General features: G+C 36.3%; 2 long non-coding RNA genes across 2 annotated transcripts in view, besides 1 other annotated feature; one reads left to right on the top strand and one right to left on the bottom strand.

Annotated features, from left to right (window-relative positions):
* Positions 1-18,096, bottom strand: part of LOC107986324 (uncharacterized) — a 487,144-nt gene that overhangs the window by 276,077 nt on the left and 192,971 nt on the right. The gene's annotated exons all lie outside the window — the stretch shown is intronic.
* Positions 1-18,096, top strand: part of LINC02233 (long intergenic non-protein coding RNA 2233) — a 111,282-nt gene that overhangs the window by 26,395 nt on the left and 66,791 nt on the right. Inside the window, exon 2 of the long non-coding RNA NR_146278.1 lies at positions 5,582-5,668. This is a non-coding gene — a long non-coding RNA (long intergenic non-protein coding RNA 2233). The remainder of the gene's footprint in view (positions 1-5,581; positions 5,669-18,096) is intronic.
* Positions 1,726-2,679: an enhancer, noted in NCBI's record as "H3K27ac-H3K4me1 hESC enhancer chr4:160669863-160670816 (GRCh37/hg19 assembly coordinates)". NCBI's record gives its function as "activates a minimal SCP1, AML or CMV promoter by ChIP-STARR-seq in naive H9 embryonic stem cells {active_cell/tissue: H9 hESC(naive)}" and the evidence as "EXISTENCE:reporter gene assay evidence [ECO:0000049][PMID:30033119]".

Below are 18,096 nucleotides of genomic sequence, written 5' to 3'. Positions count from 1 at the left end.
AGACCAATAAAAAAAAGGAAAAATAAAATATAACAAAAAAGATCAGTATTCAAAAATTTCTCAAGAAAGAAAAGCCTAGGACAAGAAAGTTTCACTGGTGAATCCTACTAAACATCTAAAGAAGAATCAATGAAATCCTTCTTAAACTTTTCGAAAAATGGAGAAGAAAGAGTACTTCCAAACTTGGTTTATGAGGCCAGCACCAAAGCCAGACAAAGATATCACAAACAAAGAAAACTACAGGCCAATATCTTTGCTGAACATGACTGGAAAATTCCTCAAAAAATATTAGCAAACCACATTTAACAGCATATTAAAATAATTATACACCATGATCAAGTAAGATTTATCCTTGGGATGCATGGTCAACACATTGAAATCAATTAATGTGATAAATGACATTACCAAAATGAAGGGAAAAAAATGGCACAATCATTACAATAGATGCAGAAAAAGCATTTGGCAAAAATTTTATACCATTTTATCATAAAAAACACTTAATATATTTGGTATAAAAACTTATAGCTGAGTGTGGTGGCTCATGCCTGTAATCCCAGCACTTTGGGAGGCCAAGGCAGGAAAATGACTTGAGACCAGGAGTTTGAGACCAACCTGTGTAACATAGCAAGACTCCATCTCCACAAAAAAAAACAAAATAAAATAAAATAAGCTGGGCATGGTGTAGTCCTAGATACTCAGGAAGCTGAGGCAGGAAGATCACTTGAGCCTAGGAGTTTGAGGTTGTAGTGAGCTATGATCGCACCACTGTGCTCCAGCCTAGGTGACAGCAAGACCCTGCTTCAAAAAAATTTTTAAAAAAGGAACATACCTCAACAGAATAAAGACTATATATGAAAGCCCCAGCTACGTCATACTCAATGGTGAAAAACTGAAAACTTTTCTTCTAAAATCTGGATCAAGGCAAGGATGCCCACTATTGCCATTTCTATTCAACATAGCCCTAAAAATTTTAGCCAGACCAATTAGGTAGGAAAAGAAATAAAAGGCATGCAAATCAAATGGAAGAAATAAAATTATCTGTTTGCAGATGACATGTTTTACATGTAGAAAACCCAGAAGACCCCACAAAAAAAAAACTGTTAAAACTAATATGAATTTTCAGGAAAGTTGCAAGATACAAAATCAACATACAAAAATCAGTTGCATTTCTATACACTGACAATGAACTATCCAAAAAGGAAATTAAGAAAACAATTCCATTTACAAAATTTTTAAAATACTTAGAAGCAAACTCAACCAAGGAAGTAAAAAATCTCTACTGAAAACTACAAAACATTGAAAAAAGAAATTAAAGCAGATGTAATTAAATTGAAGGACATTCCTATGTTCATTGAAAGGATTGATATTGTTAAAATGTCCACACTATCCACTACCCTGTAGATTCTGTTATCTACAGATTCAATGCATTCCTATTAAAATCCCAATAGAATTTTTACATAATAAGAAAAATAATGCTAAAATTCATTAAAAAAAAAAGAAAAAAAAAACAGAAAAGATCCTAACCAGCCAAAGCAATTTTGAACCAGAATATAATTGGAACCATCATGCTCCTTGGTCTTAAAGTCTACTACAAAGCTATAATAATCAAAACAGCATGGTACTGTCATAAAAACAGACAGATCGACCAATGGAACAGAATAGAAAGCCCAAAAATAAACTCACACATGTACAGTGAACTGATCTTCAAAAAGAGTGCCAAGAATACACAATGAGAAAAAAAAGTCTCTTTAATAAATGAGGTTGGGTAAATTAGACATATACATGCAAAAGAATAAAATTGGTCTCTTATTTTGCACCATATACAAAATCAACTCAAAACTGATTAAAGATTTAAACATAAATCCTGAAATTATAAAACTTCTCAAATAAAACATAGGATGCAATGGTATGTGCCTGTAATCCAAGCTACTTGGGAGGGTGAGGCAGGAAGTTCACTGGTGTCCAAGAGGTCAAGAGTAGTCTGGGCAACATAGCAAGACCCCATCTCAAAGAAGGAATAAGGAAGGAAAGAAAAAGTAGGAAAGGGAAGGGAAGGGAAAGGGAAAGGGAAGGGAAGGGAAGGAAAGGAAAGGAAGAAAGGAAAGGAGGGAAGGGAAGGGAAGGGAGGAAGGGAAGAGAAAAAGGGAAGAGGAAAGGAGAAAGGAAAAAGGGAAGAGGAAAGGAAAAAGGGAAGAGGAAAGGAAAAAGGGAAGAAGAAAGGAAAAAGGGAAGAGGAAAGGAAAAAGGGAAGAGGAAAGGAAAAAGGGAAGAGGAAAGGAAAAAGGGAAGAAGAAAGGAAAAAGGGAAGAGGAAAGGAGAAAGGGAAGGGAAAAGGGAAGGGAAAGGCAAAGGGAAGGGAAAGGGAAAAGGAAAGGGAAAAGGAAAGGGAAAGGGGAAGGGAAGGGAAGGGAAAAGAAAAAAGAGAAAAGAGGCAGGGAGGGAGGGAGGCAGAAAACAGAGAAAAACCTTCTGGATATTGGCCCTGGCAATGATTTCTTAGACATGACACCAAAAGAACAAGGAATGAAAACAAAAATACACAAGGTATTACATCAAACTAAAAAGCTTCTGTACAGCAAAGGAACTAATCAATAATATGAAAAGGCAACATGAAAGAGGCAGAGCAAGATGGTACAATAGGACTTCTTAATGATCATTCCTCTGCCAAAACATCAATTTAAACAGCTATCCATGCATGAAAATCTTTTACAATAGCTAAGCAAACCAGGTAAGAGATCACAGTACTGGGTATAGCATAGAAATGAGAAAAGATGCACTGAAGAGGGTGGGAAAGACAGCTTTACATTACCGATGTCACCTCTCCCTCAATCCCAGGCAGCAGAGCATGTAGAGAAAAAAACCTCCACTCAGGGGAAAAACAGGGAAGTGAGCAGAGGAGTTTGCCTCGGACCCCAAATCTAGGCCTGCCACAGAAAAACCCAGCATCAGGAAAGCTTTCACAGCCCCAGACTCCAGGCTGATACCTGCAGACTCAGCCTCCAAATCTTCCCTCATACCAGGCCAGACCCTACAGCCCAGGTTTCAGGCCTGTGTGGCAGACTCAGTCTCCAGGCCACATCACTGCTGGGCCTGCCTCAGCTCCACGGCAGTCTCAGCAGAAGCAGGTTTTGGGTCTACCCCACTGCCATCTTAGGCCCAATGGCCCCAAGCTTCAAGCCCACCTCACCATCAGCCTGGCTCCAGCAGACCCAGACTTAAGGCTTGCTCCACTGCCAGCTCAGCCCCAGGAGTCCTATGCTTTGAGCCCACTCACCTGCTGACCCAGACGGCGGCTGACCAGCTAGCCCAAGGGCTCCAGCAGCAAGCCTGCCCATGGTCCACAAGAGACAGTCTGCCCAGAATCCCTGGACAGGCTAACTGTTGAACTTCCCCAGACAAAGCCAGTCTGTGAAGACTGGAATAAATACCTGTTTCTTCAGATACACAGACACCAAGACATACAGCAAAGATAAAGAATATTCAGGGAAACATGACATTATCAAAGGGACAAACTAAAGTACCAGGGACTAACCCTAAAGAGATGGAGATGTACAAACTGACAAAAAATTCAAGAAAAGGCAACCTATGGAATTAGAGAAAATATTTGCAAACCATATATCTGACAAAGAGTTAATACTGAAAATATATAAGAAGCTCAAACAACTCAATAGCAAAAAAAACAGAAAACCCAATTTTTTATTTTACTTTATTTTATTTTTATTTTTTTGAGACAGAGTCTCAGTCCGTTACCCAGGCTGGAATGCAATGCCACAATCTCAGCTCACTGCAACCTCCAACTCCTGGGTTCAAACAATTCTCCTGCCTCAGCCTCCTGAGTAGCTGGGACTACAGGCATGTGCCACCACATCTGGCTAATTTTTTTATTTTTAGTAGAGATGGGGTTTCACCATGTTGGCCAGGCTGGCCTCGAACTCCTGACCTCAAGTGATCCACCTGCCTTGGCCTCCCAAAGTGGTGGGGTTACAGGCATGAGCCCCCACATCTGGCCAGAAAACCCAATTTTAAAAATAGACTAAGAACTTAAATAGACATTTAGTCTATGGCCAATAGGTAATGGGGCCAATAGGTAATGAAAAACTGCTTAATATCACTAGTCATTGGAGAAATGCAAATAGAAGCCACAATGAGATACTACTTCACACCTGGTAGGATAGCTATTTTCAAAAAAAAATTATATATATATATACACATATATACATATATAATTTATATGTATATATACATATATATGTATACATATAATATATACATATGTATATATGTATATATACATATATAATACATGTATATGTATATATACATGTGTATACATGTATATATGTGTATATACGTATACATATATACACATGTGTGTATACATATATACATGCGTGTATGCATGTACGTATACACGCGTGTATGCATGTATGTATACACGTGTACACATGTATACACATATATATGTATACACGTGTATACACATATAATATATAATATACATATAATAATAATATATGTATATATAATATACACATATATATAATTTTTTTTAAAATAGCTATCCTACCAACAATATATAAATGTTGGCAAGAGGCAGACGATACAAAGAACGTTTTTACACTGTTAGTGGAGGTATAAATTGTTTCTACAGAAAAATACTGTAAAGGTCCCTCAAAAAATTCAAAATAGAAATATATGATCCAGCAATCCTACTTCTGGATATATTTTCAAAGGAATTGAAATCAGGATTTCAAAGAGATAGCCACACTCCCATGTTCACTGCAGCACTATTCACAATAGCCAAGATATGGAAGCAACCTAAATTCCCACCAACAGATGAACGGATAAATAAAATGTTGTATGTTCATATAATGGGATATTATTCAGCCTTTAAAAAGGAAGAAAATCCTGCCATTTGTGGCAACTTAGAATAATCTGGTGGACATTATGCTAAGCAAAAGGAACCAGACACAGAAGGACAAGTACTATATGATACCAATTACATGATGAATCTGGTCAGAAAGAAAACACAATTACTGGCAAAATTCCCTTGCTGAATGGCAATATGGAATAACACTTAATGGAAAGTACACCCCACATGCATGCTAGAAGACATTTCACTTTAGAGCTGGATAAAGCCATTCACATAAGCAAAGCTTAAACCATTTCTTCACATATGCAGTAGGCATTTATGAGAAAACTGTGGGGGTTTTTTTGTTGCTGAAAACTCATGATACAGTAGACGAAATACTTTTTACATTGGTTAATGATTACTTTGCATATTAAAATAAAATAGAAAAAGATAAAATATGTCGTGATTGCTACTAACAGAGTAGCATATATGAATGCAGCAATAAACAGTGTAGCTAATCAAATTAAAAAGCTTGCTTCTTAATGCCAATTACTACACTCCATTAATCATAGACAACAGTTGATTTTGCCTCCTAATCTTGATTCAACATTGAAAGAAATGGTGAAAAAGTGAATGCAGTTATATTGTGCCCCTAAGCATAAGTATTTTAAGGCTGCCTAATAAAAAATTAAAAAAATAGTAATGTGCAATCCTGCTTTCTTCTGCCAGGTCCTGCTGGTCATTGAGAGAAAAGGTGTGCACACAGGTTGGGCAATAAGAGAATCAAACAGTTCTCCACCAGCCATTAACACCAGGGTACATATATCAGTAATGAATTCCGTATTTTGAAGAGCCTAAAATTTATAACCTCTGAGTAGAAAAAATAATAATATTGAGGCTAAGATATGATAAGAAGGCTAGACTAAAAAGAAAAGTATTTATTCATCAGAAAAAATAACAAATGACATGTTATTGTGCATATTTTTAAAATGCCTTCAAAATGCTTCTAAAAACATTATAAAATGCTTTCCAGAGTCAAATACATTCAGCTCTGGGTTAGGAAGCACTTTACTATTATCCTGTAAATTTAAAAAAAAAAAAAAAAGAACAGAGTTCAGGTGTGAGTGATATACTCATTGTCTAGTCACTTAGCATAGAACTGAAAGTTTCCATTCAGGTATAGAAAACAACTTGACAGTCAATTTCTGCCATAAATGGTGTCCTTCTAAGTTAATTTTTCTAATTTTCTAGTAATATGGAGTAAGAAAAACTGTGCCTGGTACATTGATTTATTGGCCACAATACTTCACTTCTCTCACATCCAACACCCTTGCCGTGACATCATAACTGGGGGAGGAGGCTGGATAATATATTCTTAGCCCTTAGTTTGGGGCTTGACTATGTGATTTGTTTTGGTCAGTGAGATATCAGCAGGCATGACACAAGTAAGAGTGTGATATGTGCTTGCCTGGGTCAGACTGTCTTCTTTGCATCTCTGCCATCTTCACAAGGAGAAAAATGTCACACTAAAGTGCTGATCAAAAAATGAGGGACACATCAGAAGAGCAATCTCAGCTCACAGGAAGACTAGCACCTGAAGCAGATGCAGATGCACAAACTTGTGAGCAAAAGAAAGGCTTACTTTGGTATCACACTGAGATGATCTGATTGCTATGCACCATTATTGAGGAGAGACTTCACTAATGAAAATTTTCAACTGGAATAGCTTTAAATTCTGGCTATGGCTCATCAAGCAGTAGACATTTTGCTTGATTAAAAACAGCATAACCTTTTTAACTGACATAAAACTATTATTATCAACAATATTTTTAACTTGCCTGATTTTATTGCTTTTAAATTGTGTTAAAATTTTTTAATTCACCTTGTTGTTTCCTATATGAGCTGAAAGCCCATTAAGTAGTTCATGATTGCTCATAATATATGAAACGCTGAACTGAAAACTTATGTCAAATACAGTATACTGCAAACAGTATTAAAATTAAGTACCTTGAACTGCTAAGTTAGCAAAAATTCATTTACATATACACATATACACATACACACCCACACACACACACACACACACACACACACAGAGTCCTTAAATGGTTAGGGGGGTAAAATTTCAGGTTTTCTCTTGTGCATATATTATTCCTATTTAATGCAGTATATTAATCTTACTCATGTGTAGACAACCTATTTTTACATAAAACATGTCCTAAACAATTGAATTATTCCCTGGAAATCATGAAAGCAATCAAGTTTCTGTAACTGTAACTGCCACTAGGACAACATTTTTCTTCTTTTCTCCATATCTGCTTTAGCGGCTAAAAATATGACTGAATCTATTCTATCCACCAAATGAGCCAAATTGGCTCTGACGGCTCAGATACTTTGTGAAAGGCACTTGATGTGACCATATGGGATACTGATAACAACTAGAGTAACAGTAGACATTTCAGATACTTTATTTTTTTCTGTATTTTTACATTATTCCTGATGTATTTGAAACCATGGCAAATGTTCAGGCAGCTTAATTGTTTTATAAAGATTTGTGTAAAATCTAGAGACTATGAAATTATTTTACAGATCCCATTGTTTTGTTATTTTTAATAGGAATTATATTTGTAAGGAAATGTGACAGGAGCAAGAATCAGGCTTTAAATTTTTTTAATCCCTATTGTGTGAATATTCTAAAATATATTTTATAGCTAAAATAAAAGTTAGCATTTTAAGAGATAGACAGCAACACAATAATAGTGGGGGGTTTCAATATTCCACTGACAACACTGGACAGGTCATCAAGACAGAAAGTCAACAAAGAAACAATGCACTCAAATTACACCCTACAACAAATGGACTTAACAGATATTTACAGAGGATTCTACCCAACAACTGCAGAATATACATCCTATTAATTAGCACATGGAACATACTCCAAGATAGAACATATGATAGGCCACAAAACAAGTCTCAATACATTTAAGAAAACTGAAATGATATCAATTACTCTCTCAGACCACAGTGGAATAAAATTGAAAATCAACTCCAAAGGAACTCTTAAAACCATGCAAATACATGAAAATTAAACAACCTGCTCCTGAATGATCTTTGGGTCAAAAATGAAATCAAAATGGAAATTAAAAAATTATTTAAACTAAACAATAATAGTGACAGAAACTATCAAAACCTCTGGGATACAGCAAAAGTAAGTGCTAAGAGGAAAGTTCATAGCCTTATCAAGAAGTCTGAAAGAGTACAAATAGACAATCTAAGGTCACACCTCAAGGAACTAAAGAAAAAAGAACAAACTAAACCCAAACCCAGTGGAAAAAAAGAAATAACCAAGATCAGAGCAAAACTAAATAAAAATGAAATGAAACAAAATAAAAGGCTTGTTCTTTGAAAAGATAAATGAAATTGACAAACCCTTAGTGAGATTAACAAGCAAGAAGAGAAAAGACCCAAATAGGTTCAATTAGAAACAAAACAGGAGCCTTACAACCAATACCACAGAAATACAAAAGATCATTCAAGGCTACTATGAACACCTTTATGCACACAAACTAAAAATCCTGGAGGAGATGGATAAATTCCTGGAAGAATACAACCCTCCTAGTTTAAACCAGGAAGAAATAAAAACTCTGAACAGACCAATAACAAGTGGCAACATCGAAATAGTAATAAAAAAATTGCCAACAAATAATGTCCAGGACCAGACAGATTCACAGCTGAATTATATCAGGCATTCAAAGAAGAATCGGTACTAATCCTATTGACACTAGGCTACAAGATAGAGATTCCTCCCTAAATCATTCTATGGAGCCAGTATCACCCTAATACCAAAACCAGAAATGAACATAACAAAAAACGAAAACTACAGACCAATATCCCTGATGAACATAGATGCAAAAATTCTCAACAAAATACTGTCTAGCCAAATCCAACAGCATATCAAAAAGATAATCCACCGTGATCAAGTGAGTTTCATACCAGGGATGCAGGGATGGTTTAACACCCACAAGTCAATAAATGTGATACACCATATAAACAGAATTAAAAACAAACAAAAAAAATCACATCATCTCAATAGATGCAGAAAAAGCATTTGACAAAATCCAGCATCCCTTTGTGATTAAAACCCTTAGCAAAATCAGTATAGAAGGGACAAGCTTAAGGTAAGAAAAGCAATCCATGAAAATCCCACAGCCAACATTATACTGAACAGGAAAATGTTGAAAGCATTCCCCAAGAACTGGAACAAGACAAGGATGTCCACTTTTACCACTTACATTCAAAATAGTACCTGAAGTCCTAGCCAGAGCAATCAGACAAGAGAAAGAAATGAAGAGCATCCAAATCTGTAAAGAGTAAGTCAAACTGTCACTGTTCACCAATGATATGATCATATACCTAGAAAAGCCTAAGACTAATCCAAAAAGCTCCTAGAACTGATAAATGAATTCAGCAAAGTTTCAGGATACAAAATTAATGTACACAAATCAGTAGCTCTGCTATACACCAACAGTGACCAAGCTGAGAATCAAATCAAGAACTCAATCAATTTTACAATAGCTACACACACACACACACACACACACACACACACACACACACACAAAGTACTTAGGAATATACCTAACCAAGGAGGTGAAAGACCTCTACAAGGAAAACTACAAAACACTGCTGAGGGAAATCATAGATGACAAAAACAAAGGGAAACACCATCCCATGCTCATGGATGGGTAGAATCAGTATTTTGAAAATGACCATACTGCCAAAAGCAATCTACAAATTCAATGCAATTCCCATCAAAATACTTCACAGAACTAGAAAAAAAATCCCAAAATTCATATGGAACCAAAAAACAGCCTGCATAGCCAAAACAAGACTAAGCGAAAAGAACAAATATGGAGGCATCACATTATCTGATTTCAAAGTATACTACAAGACGATAGTTACCAAAACAGCATGGTACTTGTATAAAAAATAGGCATGTAGACCAATGGAACAGAATAGAGAACCCAGAAATAAAGGCAAATACTTACAGCCAACTGAACTTCAACGAAGCAAAGAAAAACATAAAGTAGGGAAAGGACACCCTATTCAACAAATGGTGCTGGGATAATTGGCAAGCCACATGAAGATGAATGAAACTGAATCCTCATCTCTCATCTTATACAAAAATCAATTCAAGATAGATCAAAGACTTAAATCTAAGACCTGAAACCATAAAAATTCTAGAAGATAACATTGGGAAAACTCTTCTAGATATTGACTTAGGCAAAGACTTCATGACCAAGAACCCAAAAGCAAATGCAACCAAAACAAAGATAAATAGATGGGACTTAATTTAACTAAAAGGCTTCTGCATAGCAAAAGAAATAATCAGCAGAGTATACAGACAACCCACAGAGTGGCAGAAAATCTTTACAATCTATACATTCAACAAAGGACTAATATCCAGAATCTACAAGGAAGTCAAACAAATCAGCAAGAAAAAACCAATCCCATCAAAAAGTGGGCTAAGGACATGAATAGACAGTTCTCAAAAGAAGATATACAAATAGCTAACAAACATATGAAAAGATGCTCAAAATAACGAATTATCAGGGAAATGCAAATGAAAATCACAATGCAATACTACCTTACTCCTGCAAGAATGACTATAATCAAAAAACCAAAAAATAATAGATGTTGTCAGGGATGCGATGAAAAGGGAACACTTCTACACTGCTGGTGGGAATGTAAACTAGTACAACCACTATGGAAAACAGTGTGGAGATTCCTTAAAGAACTAAAAGTAGACCTACCATTTGATCCAGCAATCCCACTACTGGGTATGTACCTAGAGGAAAAGAAGTTATTATACGAAAAAGATACTTGCATATGCATGTTATAGCAGCACAATTCACAATTTCACAAAAAACATGAAATCAGCCCCAATCCCCATCAATGAGTGCATAAAGAAAATGTGGTACATATATACTACGGAATACTATTCACACATAAAAAGGAATGAAATAATGGCATTCACTGAAACATGGATGGAGTTAGAGACCATTATTCTAAGTAAAGTAACTCAGGAATGGAAAACCAAACATCGTAGGTTTTCACTTATAAGCGGGAGCTAAGCTACAAGGACACAGTCATAAGAATGATACAATGGACTTCAGGGATTCAGGGGAAAGGGTGGGAAGTGGGTGAGGAATGAAAAACTACACATTGGATGCAGTGTACACTGCTTGGGTGATGGGTGCACCAAAACCTGAGAAATCACCACCAAAGAACTTATACATGTAACCAAATACCACCTGTTCTCCTAAATCTATTGAAATGTTAAAAATAAGTAAATAATAAAATTCTTTAAAAATTAGCATTTTAAATGTTACAAATCTAGTATTTGTTTTGGAAAAACTATAACTCATTATCATCTTTATTGAAGCACTATTTACAATAGCCAAAATATGGAATCAACCTAAATGCCCATAAATGAATGAATGGATAAAGAAAATGTGGTGTATATATGTATGCACACACACACAAACACACACACACACACACACAATGGACTATTATTCAGCCATAAAATAAAATTTTGTCATTTGCAGTAACATGGATGGAAATCGAGGTCATTGTGAAATAAGGTCATAAGTGAAATAAACCAGGCTCAGAAAGACAAATATTGCATGTTCTTACTTATGTGGGAGCTTAAAAAATAAGTGGATCTCATGGATGTAGAGACTAGAATGACACTTACCAGAGACTGGGAAAGATAGAACGAAGAGAATAATGAAGAGAGGTTAGTTAATGGGTGCAAAAATACAGTTAGATAGAAGGAATAAGTTCTAGTGTTCAATAGTATAGTAGGGTGACTACAGTTAACAAGAATTTGTTGTATATTTCAAAATAGCCAGAAGAGATTTGGAATGTTCCTCACACAAATAAATGATAAATGTTTGAGGTGATGAATATCTTAATTACCCTGATTAGATCACTACACACTGAATATGCATGTATCGTATGCCACATGTATACCATAAATATGTGCAATTATTACATATCAACAAAAACATATATATATAAAACTCAAAGTCTGCTGTCACTTAGACATATCCTTCATTAAATTTAGTAAATCATCTCCAGAATTTATTCAACTGTATCCATGACCCTGACTTACCCAACACTTACATTTGTTGCTGCTGTTGTTGGAAGTGCTGGTAGGGTGAAGTTTTTAATCAATAAGAGAGGGCAAAAACTCAGGACAATTCAAATTATTTTAATCTTTGTTACTGTGATACGTATTCTCAAGTTCAGAAGACTTCTAAAACAAATTGATTCATGATTCTTTGTTAATCAAATATGTATAACAATAAAAATGTATTTTATTGAGATATATAGATATAGCTAGATATGGATAAAGATTATAGATATAGACTACTATAGATATAGATAGATATATAGCAGATTCTCTAATAACAACATTTCCTTCAATGTTGTTTATAACATTGATGAAAAACAATAATTGCTTCCCTGTCAGAAGAACCACTGCCTGTGTGGTTTGCACATCTTCACCATGTCTGTGTAGGTTTTCTCTGAATGCTCCAGTTTCCTCCCACGGCCCAAAGATGTGCACATTGGGTAAACTGGCCCAGAATGAGTGAATGTGGGTGTGTGTGTGAGTGCACCCTGTGATGAGATGGCATTGTGTCCAGGGCGGGTTCCCACCTTCCACCCTGAGCCCATGGGATAGGCTCCAGCCACCGGTAACCTTGAACTGGAATAAGCAGGTTGGAAAATGAATGAGTTCAAATCATTGTAAAATAAAAATCTGTAAAGGATACAATATTCATACAAATGCATGACACTAAAACGATGTGGTAGGAAAGTGCTCAGAGAGCCTACCATATTTGTGATTGTTTTTGAACTTCAAGGTGGGAGGAAGTGCTCCCTATAATTTTCACTTTTCAAGCATTTATTTCCTGATTTAATCCACCACTACAATCACTCCCACTCGCTGACTCATGAAAAATTGGGAAAATGATCATGTTACTTGTTTTTACTAACTGTCTTTCAATGTATGTAAAGCTCACATGTATTTCAATGCTTAATATTAGAAGTGTTTTGGGTCTTTGTTTTGAAGTTTGATGATGTTTTTGTGACCAGAAATATGTCATAGGAACTGAACTTTTGCTTATATCAGTTAGCCTGTGGTAAAATTGGTTGTAAGTTTTTTTCACTTAAAGTCACAATTCCCAAGAAGCTATCAGCAATGTTAATTGAGGGCTTAACTGCATACTGGTCATCTATCAAATATATCAAGTTATATATTTGTTGTAAGGTCAGAAGGTGGATTTATCAAGAGATTTTTAGAATCTACCCACTGATCTCATATCAAGGAGATATAGACATATTTCAATATTTTATATATATATCTTAACACGTTTTTATTGTATACCTATTAGATGGACAAAGAACAATAATCCAATTTGTTTTAGATGTCTTCTGAACTTGATAATATGAGCCATGGTAGCAAAGATTAAAATAATTTAAAATGTCTTGATCATTATTGTAGATCCTAATAATCTGTTGATGTTATAAGAATTTTCTAATCCTTAAAAAAAAATTAGATTTTCTAGATTTGACTTTCTGAAATCACTTTTCTTTGATTTTCTATGCTGCCTTTATTTGCTATGGTAATTCTCTACTTCTACTTTCCACATTAGTCATTAGTTTTTTCTCTACTGTCTCAAAATCATTGAATTTATTTATTCAGAAAATATTTTTATTTTTATAGTTCACAGGCATATATTCTGTATTTGTAGTATTGTCTTCTGATTTTTTTTTAACTTTTAAGTTCAGGGGTACATGTGCAGGTTTGCTACATAAGTAAACATGTGTCATGGGGGTTCATTGTACAGATTATTTCATCACTCAGGTATTAAGCCTAGTACCAATTAGTTATTGTTCCTGATCCTCTCCCTCCAACCGACAGGCCCCAGCGTATGTGTTCCCCTCTATGTGTCCATTTAGCTTCCACTTATAAGTGAAAACATGCAGTATTTGGTTTTCTGTTCCTGCCTTAGTTTGCTAAAGATAATGGCCTCCAGCTCCATCAATGTTCCACAAAGAACATGATCTCAATCCTTATTTTATCTGCATAGTATTCCACGATGTATATGTACCACATTTTCTTTATCCAGTTTAGCACTGACGGGCATTTAGTTTGATTCCATGTCTTTGCTATTGTGAATAGTGCTGCAATGCACATACACATGCATGTGTCTTTATGATAGAATGATTTATATTCCTTTGGGTATATACACAGTAATAGTCATCAGTATTTTCAGAATTCAGCAACCTCTGTGTGCACAATATTATTTAGCTTAGAGTTAAACAGATTCAAACAATGTAAACATGTAGTTTGCAGACTTCTAATTAAAAGATGAATTTCCATGAGAAATTTGAAAACATTAAAAAGAGATATAAAATCGTCACAAAATTGCCCAGAGCTTAATCTTGACAGACTAATCTGCACAGGGCTGGTTTGAGAAGCACCACACATGGCTTAAAATCATTAGCACTAGTGCAGCAAGATGATTTAAAAAGTTAATATCATTTATGAAGCTCTTCCTTTGCACAAGGTACTCTCCAAAGCACTTTACACCACAAAAATCTATGATATTGTGTATTAGTCCGTTCTCATGCTGCTATGAAGAAACAGCCAAGACTGGGTCATTTATAACAAAAAGAAGTTTAATTGACTCACAGTTTCGCATGGCTGGGGAGGCCCCAGGAAAATTACAATCATGGCGAAAGGCACCTCTTCACAGGATGGCAGGAGAGAGAATGAGTGCTGAGCGAAGGGGGAAGCCTCTCATAAAACCATCAGCTCTCATGAGAACTAACTCACTATCACGAGAACAGCATGGGTGAAACCGCCCCTAATGATTCAATTATGAGAACAGCATGGGGGAAACCGCCCCTAATGATTAAATTATCTCCACCTGGTCCTGCTTTTGACATGTGAGGATTATAACAATTCAAAATGAGATTTGGGTGGGGATACAGAGCCAAGCCATATCGGATTGTTCATTTTTTTATCCCCATTACACAGACAAGGAAACTTAAACTGCAACCAGTAAATTCTACCAAAATCAACTAGCTCAGGGATATGAACTCAAAGAGTCTGGTTTAAGAGGTGATGCTCCTCTACACGATGCTCTACTCTCTCAAAGATAAGAGTGAGAATATTAATCATCGCTATGTGAATGTGTTACATACATTAATCTTAATAGTGAGTACAATGATTATTCTATTTTATAGATAAAAAAACAAAGTATACAGAGCTTAAAAACCTTGCCCAAATTCACAGAGAGAGGACTTTTCGAGGTATTGTGTTTTTCTCTTGTGTGTTTTTCCTTCCTGAGTTTTATGTCTTTCCCTTCTCATTTTCCCTAAGAAATGAGTTCTTCCTTAATGTAGCCTTCCCTACTAGCTCATGTTACAGGTGGAAAAGCAGAATAGCCCAGACCAGTGCGGGGAGGGGTGGAGTTCTTTGTTTCAAAAGGTAAGCCTAATAAGGACATCCTGCTAAGTACTTTCTGAGGTAGTAAAAAGGAGAAAGACAGGAAGTAATGAGAGCTAGTGAGCTTTCCCACAATTAGGAAAGTGATAGAGAATTGTGGGTTCCCTGAGATGAGAAAGCCGTCATCTCATTCCCACTTGGGGTCCTTGGATGACAAGCACTCAGAGGGAAAGAAATTGCTGCGTATCACTGAGGTACTACAGTGATGGCTAGGAGGAGGCCCTGGGATGCTCAGCCCTAAAAAACATACCTACCCATTCCTTAGCACATCAGAGCCTCTCACTATCAAGGAATCATAACTTGGACAATCAGTAGTGACATATATAGTCTTCTGAAAGGAAAATATCTTGGGCCCCCAAATTCACTAAGGAAAACTCAAGCTGGAAACTGCTTAGGGCAAACCTGCCTTCCATTCTATTCAAAGTCACCCCTCTGCTCACTGAGATAGATGCATATCTGATTGCCTCCTTTGGAAAGGCTAATCAGAAACTCAGAAGAATGCAACCCTTTGTGTCTCAACTATCTGTGACCTGAAGCTCCCTTCCGGTTTTGAGCCTTCCTGACTTTGCTTCAAGTTGTCCCGCCTTTCCAGATGGAACCAATGTACTTCTAACTTATACTGGCTGATGTCTCATGTCTCCCTAAAATGTATAAAACCAAGCTGTGCCCCAACCACCTGGGCACATGTCCTCACGACTTCCCGAGGCTGTGTCACAGGTGCATCCTCAACCTTAGCAAAATAAACTTTCTAAATTAACTGAGACCTGCCTCCGATTTTCTGGGTTCACAGTCTGAAGCACAGAGGGTCCTCTTGCATTGTGAAACTCTAAGAACTCTGGTAAATTGTCACAGGATGGGGAAAAAGAAGACCTGATAATAACTGAGTTTGCATTTCTTGCCATTTGAAGTTAGATTTAATTTAGTTTTAGAAGATCATCATGTAATATGACTGGCATAGCTGAGTTTCTGGAGAAGAATGCATCCCTGCTGTACTAATTTTCCAAAAGGCTCCTGTTTATTCTCCCTAATACTATACCAAGAGAAGAGACAGAGTTTGAGTTGTGGTCAGTCTTTTCAGAAAGTCATCTTGTCAAAACACAAAATTATTGGTTTTGAAGTTAAGAGTCATGAACACTTGTACAAGGAAATCTGGACTTTAATCTGAAGCTATAATTACATAACAGAGTAGAGTTTTTATGTTAAATGACTATAGAAATGATACAAATGCCTAAATTCCAGCTGTGTCAGCTATAGAAACAAGCTTCTGCAAAAACTGAGAAAAGTATTCTTTGTAAATCTGCCCCAACATACTTGAAATTGATCCATCTATAATTATCTTCTCTTTTCCCCTAAGCAAAAATATTTTCATGATTTTTAAAAAGCCAAAATAAGGAGAAAAAGCTCCTTGATATGGTGTTTCTTGGTAGAGTTATTTAAAACTATGTACACTGTTTTTAAAATGATAGACGGATTATGCACATTATTAGAGCATAATGTATGGTAGAGATAAATGCTCCTTTGTTTTCTTATAGAAGATTTTTCTCCATGACAAGGCACAGCTGTCAAAACTTCAACAGAATTCTGCTTTTTTGGCAAGTAAAACAATTAAGAGCTGAGGCTTACCGACTCCTTTCCAAATATAGCCTCCTTTTCCACAAAGGTAGCTGACAGACTGTAAGAGCTCTAACCAAACTGAACACCAAGTAGGTATGACTTGTTTCTGGAAAAGGTGTGTCAAGTCTGTCAAAAAGTCCAGGTAAAATCTCACAATCTCGGTTATTTAAAGAGATGCTTTGAAGCTCATAATATGTCTATTTAAAGACCAAAAAGACAATGGCCTTTATGATACTTACAGATCCATAAATAAATGTTTACTGTTTGCTCTGAGCAAAGATACACAATTCTACACCAAGATGATAAATCTCAATCTGAGGGACCAATTATAAAATATTTGAGCCACATTTGTTGTTAAAAATCCATAAAAAACTGGAAGTTATTATACTTGTGTATGTCAAGTCTTTCTACATACATGTATTTCAATAGTTTATAGTATGCTACAAGTTTCTGATGTACTGGATTTACTTTCTTTTTTTGAGACTGAGTCTGGCTCTGTCACCCAGGCTAGAGTGCAGTGGCACGATCTCGGCTCACTGCAAGCTCCGCCTCCCGGGTTCAGGCCATTCTCCTGCCTCAGCCTCCTGAGTAGCTGGGACTACAGGCGCCCGCCACCACGCCTGGCTAATTTTTTGTATTTTAGTAGAGACAGGATTTCACCATGTTAGCCAGGATGGTCTCGATCTCCCGACCTCGTTATCCACCCACCTCAGCCTCCCAAAGTGCTGGGATTACAGGCGTGAGCCACTGTGCCCGGCCGACTGAATTTACTTTCAAGACAAAAGTTTAATGATCATTTAGGTGATAGTTTCTCCTGTTCTGCTAAGTCAGAATTATGAATGCCTGGTAGGGAATCAGTGTTCTTATGTGTAGGGGATTTTTGAGTCCCCAGAGTGACCTGTTTCAGTGACTTAGGCATGTAATTAGGGACATGTGGCTGGAATCATTGCAGTAATTAAAGAAGTCTAGAGGAAGGCCTGTTCATCTCTGCTGTCAACCATAGCAAGGACACAATGAGAAAGATGGAATTCTGGATGCTGCA

The sequence above is a fragment of the Homo sapiens genome, chromosome 4, assembly GCF_000001405.40.
Source record: "Homo sapiens chromosome 4, GRCh38.p14 Primary Assembly".
Lineage (NCBI taxonomy): Eukaryota > Metazoa > Chordata > Mammalia > Primates > Hominidae > Homo > Homo sapiens.
This window is presented reverse-complemented; position numbering and strand designations above follow the sequence as displayed.